Below are 10,219 nucleotides of genomic sequence, written 5' to 3'. Positions count from 1 at the left end.
GAAGAAGAAACTGGAGATGGAGGAGAGGGAGGAGGGGGAACTATGTCTGCAGCTCTACTCTAGTTCTCTGCTACCCTTAAAAGTAAAACTTCTAGAGAGAGCCATCTATAGTCGCATTCTCTACGTCATCACCTGGATTCTCTCCTAAGACCACCCTAACCGAGCTTCCGTTTTCACTGCCTTTATGAACGTTTGTTAAGCTACGTGCAGTGAAATCCAAAGGTCGCTCTTCTATTCTTGTCCGAAATGTCTTAGAAGTGTTCAGTGAAGTTTATCACTTGCTTCTATGATGAAGGCTTTCTTCTCCTGGTTTCAGAAACCCCATCGTCTCCTTGCATCTCCTTTGTCACTGAAACTCTCTTACTGTCTCCTCGGCTCAATCATGGTATGCCCCTGGGCCCTTTCCTGGTCCTGTACTCCTTTCTATATAGAGGTAAAGCATTTTTTTTTTTTTTTTTTTTTTTTTTGAGACGGAGTCTTGCTCTTTCGCCCAGGCTGGAGTGCAGTGGCGCGATCTCGGCTCACTGCAAGCTCCGCCTCCCGGGTTCACGCCATTCTCCTGCCTCAGCCTCCCAAGTAGCTGGGACTACAGGCGCCCGCCACTACGCCCGGCTAATTTTTTGTATTTTTAGTAGAGACGGGGTTTCACCGTTTTAGCCGGGATGGTCTCGATCTCCTGACCTCGTGATCCGCCCGCCTCGGCCTCCCAAAGTGCTGGGATTACAGGCGTGAGCCACCGCGCCCGGCCGGTAAAGCATTTTAAACCCATCTAATCCCTGGGCTTTAACCAGTATCTGTATAAATAGGACTTTCAATTCTATATGTCTCATTCTGAACTCTTTTGGACTATGATTTGTGTAATCACATACGGACTTGATATCTCCACATAATACAGAATATTGGAGGTACATATTGCCTAATGATGATCTTCTTTGTCCACTTCATTTCCTGAAACTGAAATGTAGAGAGGTTGAATAACTTAACCGGTTTCCTATTGCTAGTCAGAGGCACAGTAGATATGCCTTCAAAACAGCGCTATCAGCTACTCCTTAGTAGGACCAAAAAATTAAAAAGCACATAATGCATGTATTAAATACTAACAAGCAAGAGTGTAAGATTTCTTTCTGTTTGTTAGGAAGCTTCAGTGTCGGATAAAGCTGTGCTGGACAGACTCCTGTAAATTCAAGCCCTGTGGTGGGGCTCTTTATGTCCCATGCTGAGTATGGCAGCCGAGGCATAACTGCATTTCTTTTAAGCTTTCCCCCAAAATTCAATCTGATTTTTACATTTTTATCTTTTCTCTCCCTGCTGGTAGGTTTCACTGGACTGATATAGATTTACATATTCCCCAATCTGATTATATTCCAGTTTATTGATTAAAAATTCCCACTGTGATATTGTTATTACAAAGTGAGGCATAAGTTTTTAGTGAATTATCACTTTTGCAGATAGTGATCACTTGATGGGAGGCTCTCTTTCAATTACCCCATCAAATAGTTATTGTTTATTTAGAGCTTGCTGAGAGTCAGATCATTTACGTAAATTTCTAAATCCCCAAGACTCAAAGCTGATTTCCAAAAATATTTGACTTTAACAGTATAGTTTCTTCAACTGAACTGTCTTTATTTACAAGCCTTTTAAGGATCAAGAGGAATTGCAGGTTTTGACACTCAGCATGTGAAGGCTTATATTAACTATTAAAGAATGAATTTCCTACAGAATATTTTTTCTCAACTGGGTCTTCATGCAATAATGTTAATTATCAAGATAAACGATCCAAAATGAGATGAAAGCTAAACATCAAAATACTGAACAATTTCTCCATGATCATGGGGATGACTCCATTAAAGCAAATTGCAGCTAAATGCAGGGCAGCAAGAAGGGAAACAGGGCAACAAGGAGATACATTATCTGTATCAACAACAAAGCTCTAAAGCCAAAATATTTAAGAGAAGTACGAATGGTCCGGCTTTGGGAAATAAACCAAATGTCAACAGTTTGCTATCACAATGATCATGAATGCCAGGTACTTTGAATACTTAGCATTTTGCATGCCAGATAGTTTACTGGGCAACACCGGTTACAGCAGTGTAGGCTGTACAGTGAATGGCTGCTGGTTTTCTTTTCCCCTGTAACAACATACCGCTACAGTAACTCTGCATGCTTTCATTTCAGTAACCTCTAGAGGTCCTTTATTACAAGGTATCAGAGCACTAAAAAGATTTCTGGGACTTCACTGAGTTCAAAAAACAGATGCATATGACAATTTCTGTAATTGTTAGCAGATACTTTTTTACATGGGGCAGGTTTTGGCTACAGCTACTTTTATTATAAAAACAGAAGATTTTCAAGGAAGAAACCTAATGCCCTCATTTTATGTTATCAATTTTAGAAAGAAATAACAATTAAGCATCAGTCAATTACCTTCACTTGGGAGAGGGAAGAAGAAAGCATAGCCCTCAGACAGACTGGGGAGGCAGGAGAGAATTATGCAAAACAGGAGGTTTACTAAGGTCCTACAGATACATGCCTGGGTTCTTCCAAAAATGCCTTCACCACTCTCAGATATTGGGCTTAGGATTCTAAAGTATTGAGCTCAGTTCTTGTGGCAACAGGACGTAAGATTCTAAACAGTCTTGGTTTGAAATGGAATAAGATTATGTGGAATTGCTTTAACAAGGCATGTGTACAAGTTGTTCTTCACTGCCAACCCTTTCCCTCCACTTTTGCTTCCTAAGATGTAAAGCCGTGGTTTCCTGAAGTGATTTTTTGCATAGGTGTGCCTAAATATTGTGGAACACAACAGCATTTGCTCATTATTAAATGTGTCAGATTCACTATCTTCTACTGTTTATTTTCAATGCTACATTTGTTCCTGTGTCCTTGCTCCACAGTTTGTGAGTATACTTCCTGGTTACAATTTACTAGTTAAAAGTAAAGTTGGCCTGGCATGGTGGCTCACACCTGTAATCCTAGCACTTTGGGAGGCTGAGGCGGGCAGATCACGAGGTCAGGAGATTGAGACCATCCTGGCTAACACAGTGAAACCCCGTCTTTACTAAAAACACAAAAAATTAGCCGGGCGCAGTGGCAGGCACCTGTAGTCCCAGCTACTCGGGAGGCTGAGGCAGGAGAAAGGCATGAACTCAGGAGGCAGAGCTTGCAGTGAGCCGAGATCGTGACACTGCACTCCAGCCTGGGTGACAGAGCGAGACTCCATCTCAAAAAAAAAAAAAGTTAGAGGAAGCACTAATGGTACTATTTTTACTACAATTAGAAAGACAGGTACTCATTTCCTTCACACTCAAAAAGAAAATTGGTTTTATGATTTTGTGGCAAGGCTTGATCTACGGATGGAGTATAACTTTTCTGTAATCACTGTATATTAGTTTTCCAACCTCAGCAGATATTTTTTCTGAATATATTTGAATAATTTCTCATACTCTTCCTGTCTTCTTCACTTTGTTGAAACAGATCAAGCCCAAGTATTTTTGGGTTGTCTACCAATTCCAATAGAGAGCCTTGATTTGGGATTAGGTTACTCTGAAATATTTTCCAAAGTAACTCAATTTTACAGAATCAAAGTGTACTTGTGGCTCATTTTATAGCTATGGAGAATATGTATTTCTAATTTCTACTTTAGAGGGTTTTTTTTTTAACCATCACAACTAGGAATTTTAATTCTTTGTCTGAAAAATTATACTGTACGTATTTCCCTCAAAACCATTTGGTACAAAGTACTGCCCATTAGAAGCAAGCTGAACATTTTGAATATATATTATTCATCTCATACAGGATGACCTTGCTCAGTAGGTCATAATTTGAAGATCTATTATGACTGTGATTAATAGGACTTCTCCCGACCAGTATCTGAAATAAATGCAAATGGCCACTGTAACACAATTACTTGGTTTCCATTTTAAAGTCTTTCCACTTAGAAACTAAGTTATACATAGAGGTTACACATCTCAGTCTGGCTGACAGACTCTCAGGTGGGTGGGCCTATTACAATCTATGCAAACAGGAAGACCAGGTCACTCATTAAACCATGGTCAATATAAATGGTGCAACGGGTTTTGTCCCAAGGACCGATGGCTAGATAATTTGACAAAAGGACAGAGAAGGATGGTGAAAAAAAAAAAAAAAAAAAAAAAACACAGATCAATGGCTATTAATTTGAAAGCAACACATATCCTAGAAAGAAACAGTTTATGCTGTTATTTAGAATAATTACCATTTTCAATTAGCTGACATTTCACATAGCTTTGGGACTATAGCAAGGCAATAACCCTCAACATCTAATCTCAGCCCTGCCTTTTGTCAATGATCTCCTGATACCGCTTCAAAGGCAAACCCAATACTTTGTGAGCAATGGCTTTCTTTGTCATAAATAGCAAGTAGTGCACAGAGTTCAAAGGAAGTTCAAGTGATATACACACTAAGGCAAAATATCTCATGTTAAAATTTCCCTGAGTACGTGAATATTTTTTTCCTGGCCATTTCCTTAATGAGCATATACTTCCAATGCAATAGAGCAGTAATTTTATTGTATTATGATGACACTATAAAAACATAAAGGAATTAAAAGTTCCAATGTAGATTTCTATCCCATCAGTGTCAATATAAAATTTACATAGCTTTTTAAAGCTAAATTATAAACTTAATTATTCATATCATTTTAAGATACTGTTTGGAATTTGAAAGTATAATATGATACATAGTTTAAAATAAATTAGCCATTTCCTATTTGAAAAATAAAATTCTCAATCTGTTAAGAGAACACATCATGATACTGATGAGAATCACTTGTGTTGAAATGCTTATTTGGTCAGCACACCAGACCATTAGTCCAAAAGCACAGGACTAAGTCTTGTCTATTCTGCGGCCCATGCCATACATACTTAGTCACCTAGTCCTCTGCCTGGTAGAAGGCTTCAATCACTACACTGGAGCTGAAGAGAAACAGTGTCACCGAGTATAAATAAAAACACTGCAACCCATAACTCCTGAAACACAAAACTCAAAGTCTGTATCTTATTGGTTACTGGTTAGTTGTATCATCTGTATTGGGCATTGAGGTACTAGCAATAATTAAAAATATAAGCTTGCAAAAATATTATAAATGCATTAGACCTAATAAAGATCTAGACAATGGATGAAAATATGTGGTTTGTGCTGTCCAGACCACAATCCTTGGAATCTAGTTGTGAAATGCTGCTCTATTCCCCTTAATAATTTTTAGAAATATCATCAATATCTGTTTTTGACAATTTTTATTAAAGTGGCAAATGGTCGTTAATCATTTTTAGATCAGTTTTTCCATTAGATACCAGACAGAATTATCTAGGTATGAAAAGCCAATCATAAATAAGGTACTATTCAGTTAAACCGCTTTGTTCACACAGAGAATCATGCTATTAGTTTGCATACTTCTTAAGATTTTAATTTCACACTCTTCAGTGTCACAATTATATTGTCAATTAAGTGTGTCATTAGCAAAACTGGGAACCCTCAGACATAACATTTCCATTCAAGTCAAAATTTATACTGAGTTGATGTCTAAAATGCTTACACTTACAAGATCTATCTTATTATAGCTCGGATAGTGTATTCCACTTTTTTGTCACTCTATATAGTCATCTACAAATAAGCAACAAAATAAAGTCATTTAAAGACCAGAATTAAGTGTCTGTTAAACTTCTTAGGTGTTGTAAAGTATTCATCTATTGACCCTGCTCTCCTAGGCTCTGAACAAGTTGTTCTATTTGGGCAACTGGCAAGAGGTATTTGGATCTTCTGAATAGAATGCCCTAAGAGATTCATAAACCTTTCAGAAGAAGAAAGGGTCTCAATACTTATTGAAACACTGCACATGAACTAACTTACTTATGTTATCTTATTTAATCTTCATAACAACCTTACTAGCCTGAAATTCCCAGCAGACCAGGAGTAGCACTGGTTTTACTCAACTTGTATCTTAAAGCAGCCAGCCAAGTGGAAAGAGAACAAACTTCCAATAAATATTCCTAGAAAGAGAAGCGGATAGAAGTGAAAGGAAAGATTAAGATGATATTATTGTACTCATTTTAAGGTTGAAAAATCTAAAATAAATACAGAAGGAGTAATATGTCCAAGATCACACTGGAGGAAGTTATGGGCCTAGCATTTCATTCCTGATCTTTCAGAATCCCAAACCGATGGTTTCTGGGCAAAATACGCTTCCATTCATATATGTACCTTCGTTCGCATTTTTACAACAATACTTCATTCATGCTAGCCACCAGCTAAGAGGGTCCCAATTATCTGGAATCTAAGTCCAAAGGAACACAATGATTGAACAAATGAGCTGTCAAAATATTTCTGCATCACTCACTTTCTGTAAAAACAGAACCACCTATTGTGGCAAGTCTGGGAACAGGTGAGCCCTTATTTCACCCTCCAGCTCCACATTTCGAGTCTCCTTATGAGTCAAGCATGCAAATGCCTGAGCTTCTTCACTTTGATGTTCACATAGTGAATATCTAACACATAGACATTCACAGAAATCTTCACAAAAGTAAGTTTTTGAAGAAATAAATTTTTTTATGAAGTGTTATTTGAGCACTCTGGAGCATCATACAAATGTAGGACAGACCGAAGGGCTACATGCAGCTTAATTTGAGTTAACATTTTTTGAAATTTTATATTGCAAAAGTATACGTATTTACCGTTGTGAAATTAGAAAGGATAGGCAAAGAGGGCGGTCTACAAAGCACTCCCTAGATCCACCATACTGAGACAATGCTTAATGCTTTGATGAATTTATTTATTTTATACTTTCTATGCGTATGCATGTATTGTATACATACATGTTCATGGTTAAATATAAACAGTTCTCCTTGGTGTTCTGTTTATCCATTTATTGTTATGAAGTAAATCCCCAAAGAGTACATTTCCTTTGCCCGAGGGAGTCTTTTGCTACATACTGCTGTACATAATGAAAACTAAAAAAGGGGCTAACTTTTCAGCCTTGTGACGTTATGGTGATTCAAACAGAGGCTTCATCAAAGGCAGATTCAGCAATGAACTTGGTGTGTGTAGGTGGTTATGCTTGGCATTATTGCCTGTAATAGTATGATAGGGATGATTTCAGTGTCTGCCAAAAGGGAATTGGTTAAGTAAACTGAGGTACATCCAAATGATGCATACTGTGTAGCTGAAAAGAAGAATGAGAAAGACTCTGTACTCACCTAGAACTTGGATGTATTCTGTGTGTTTTTTTAAAAGGGAGAAGGAATGGTATCGTATGTGTGGTATGCTACTTTTTGTGTTGAGAGAGAAGGGTAGAATAAGAATATACATGTGTATTTGCAAAGATAAATTCTGAAATGATATACAAGAAATGAATTAAAAGTGGCTGTGGAAGGAGAATAAGACTGTGAATGGGATTTTGTCACATACTTTTATAGATAGTTATATTTAAAATTTTTCTGGACTATATATTTGTACATATGACCCTTTTAAAAATAAGTGAATGAAGGAATGAAGTAGGATTATGAGAAAGAGATAAGAAAAAAGGATCTAAGGGGTTGCCCATCTTCTTAGTACCCAGTGAATATTAATACATAATAATAGCAGCAAAAATTGGAAGAGTAGCCCCAAGAGGGTGGTAGGGAGTCAGCCTTTCCTTTCTCTTTTCCTCAATTTCATATATTAAAAACATATATATACTGAGAACAATAAAACAATTTGAAACAAAAATGTCTCCAGATCTCTTCAAAGGAAGATGGGCAGCTTTATGTAGGGCACTTTCCAAAAATGGGCTGGTTTCCCTCAAGAGGCGGGGATTCTAGCCTACATGGGATACATATGGGAGAAAAAATAAGAAAAAGAAAAGAGATTTAAATATAAATAAATGAAAACACTTCTCCCTGATTATAATAATTTGGATGACAAATATTAGAAAAATCTCTGCCGCTCAAAACATTCTGGTTTGTTGCTTTTTATACTTTTTTATGCATGTAAACATTTTAAAAAGTAGAATCTTAATAGATAGCCTTTTGTCACTTACTATATTTTGGGCATATTTCTGTGGCAGTATTTTCTGGCGTCATCATTTTTAATGGTTGGATGTATATTAATTCATTTCCTTTCCTTTCCTTTTTTTCCTTTCCTTTCCTTTTTTTCCTTTCCTTTCTTTTCTTTTTTCTTTGTTTCCTTCCTTTCCTTCGTTTCCTTCCTTTCTTTCCTTTTCCTTCCTTCCTTCTTCCTTTCCTTTTTCCTTTTCCTTTTGTCCTTCCTTCCTTCTTTCTTTCCCTCCCTCCCTCCCTTCCCTCCCTTCTTCCTTCCTTCCTTCTTTCTTTCCCTCCCTCCCTCCTTCCCTCCCTCCTTCCCTCCCTCCCTCCCTTCCTTCCTTCCTTTCTTCCTTCCTTCCTTCCTTCTTTCTTTCTCTCTCCAAACTCCAGAGTCACATTTCACTTAATTTTTATCCTGTCAAATTTCAAAGCATTTTAACTTGGTGATTTTAATGTAAACAGGAGCAGGAGATAATGTAATTATCTAGGTCTTGCTCTGTCACCCAGGCTGGAGTGCAGTGCCATAGTCTTAGCTACTGCAGCCTCAAATTCCTGGGCAGAAGCAATTTTCCCACCTCAGCCTGCCGAGTAGCTAGGACTACAGATGTGCGCCACCACACCTAGCTATTTTTTAAAATTTTCTGTGGATATGTGAATTCGCTATGCTGCCTAGGCTTGTCTTGAACTCCTGACTTCAAGTAATCCTCCCACCTTGGCTTGTCAAAGTGCTGGGATTACAGGTGCGAACTACTGCTCCCAGCCGAGAGTTTAGTTTTGTTCACTAGTGGTGTTCTTGGTATCTTTTCTTATTTGAGGCTTTGGTGCTAGTGCTGAAGTATTACACTCAACACCCAAGGTTTACAGGACTTTTGTTTTAATATGGAAGAGATGGAACTGTTTAGTTCTGCATCTTTGCAGGTATACAAAATGTGCCTACCAGGACTCTGCTTTATATCCATTGAAAGTAAGAAGTAATACAGTAAAACTTTGCCAGGCTAGAGGCTTTGAAGGAATGGAGTGTTCTGGTTGAATTCTATTAACTTGGAAGTATGAAGGTGAACAAATTCAGAACTTAAATTTCCTTTGAATGCAATTTGAAAATACAGCCAATGATTCCACTTTTCTTCTCTAGTAAGTTTGGACATTCCATTCTACTTGGTGTTTTATTACAGAACTCCTAGTGTGCCTGAGTCTTACATTGTGAAGATACTTTTTTAAAGCTTTAGCAGTAAGAGGATGTAAATGGTTTTGTATGAGATCAGGCTGGATGAGAACTGATACTTGTAAACATACTTTTTAGAGTAAACCTCTGATTGCCACTTGTTTTCTTATGGAACTCATAAAAATAAAACACATTGGATGGAGGGTGGGAGTAGGAAGGAGAGTTATGTGTTATATGTTTTAATTGGATGTCATTGTTTCGTATCAAGACAGAACATATGGTATCCCTGGCTTTGGACCTACAGAAGGAAACACATTTTTCTACCTGCTGTATGGCAGAGGTTCTTAAACAGCTGGAGGGATTACTGCAGCAAAGATTGCTGATCCCTACTCCAGAGTTTCTGATTCACCAGGTCCAGGGTAGGGCCTGGGAATTTGCACTTATAAAGAGTTCTCAGGTGCTGCTGGTGCTGCTAGTCCAGAGACTACATTACTCTTCTCTACTAACTATAAATTGCAGAACTCTAGACAAAAACTTGGTTTGGTCTGGGATAAGAAGCACACAGGTTATGGAGCAAATCTGAAAGATTCAACCCTTGATCCCAGCCTAGTGTGGATTTCAGGTAACAAGCAGTACACAGTGACATAACACAATTCTTGGTTTTCATGATTGCAAGTCACAGGCAAGTATCAAGTGAGAAATTCAGTTTCATTTGCAAGGCTTAGAAAGGCCAGGTGATTCTAGAAAAATGGGCCTTGTATTTGTTTTAAACCGGTAAAGAGCTTTGAGTGCTTATTAAATTGAAAGCTCTTTAAATTTATTTTGTATTTTATTTTATTTTATTTCTTTTGAGATGAAGTTTCACTCTGTCACCCAGGCTGGACTGCAGTGGTGTGAGCTTGGCTCACTGCAAACTCCGTCTCCCAGGTTCAAGTGATTCTCCTGCCTCAGCTCCTGAACAGCTGGGATTACAGGCACCCACTACCATGCCTGGCTAGTTTTT

This window comes from Homo sapiens, chromosome 15 (assembly GCF_000001405.40).
Source record: "Homo sapiens chromosome 15, GRCh38.p14 Primary Assembly".
Classification (NCBI taxonomy): domain Eukaryota; kingdom Metazoa; phylum Chordata; class Mammalia; order Primates; family Hominidae; genus Homo; species Homo sapiens.
The sequence above is the reverse complement of the archived record's forward strand: the minus strand, read 5'-3'. Positions refer to the sequence as shown.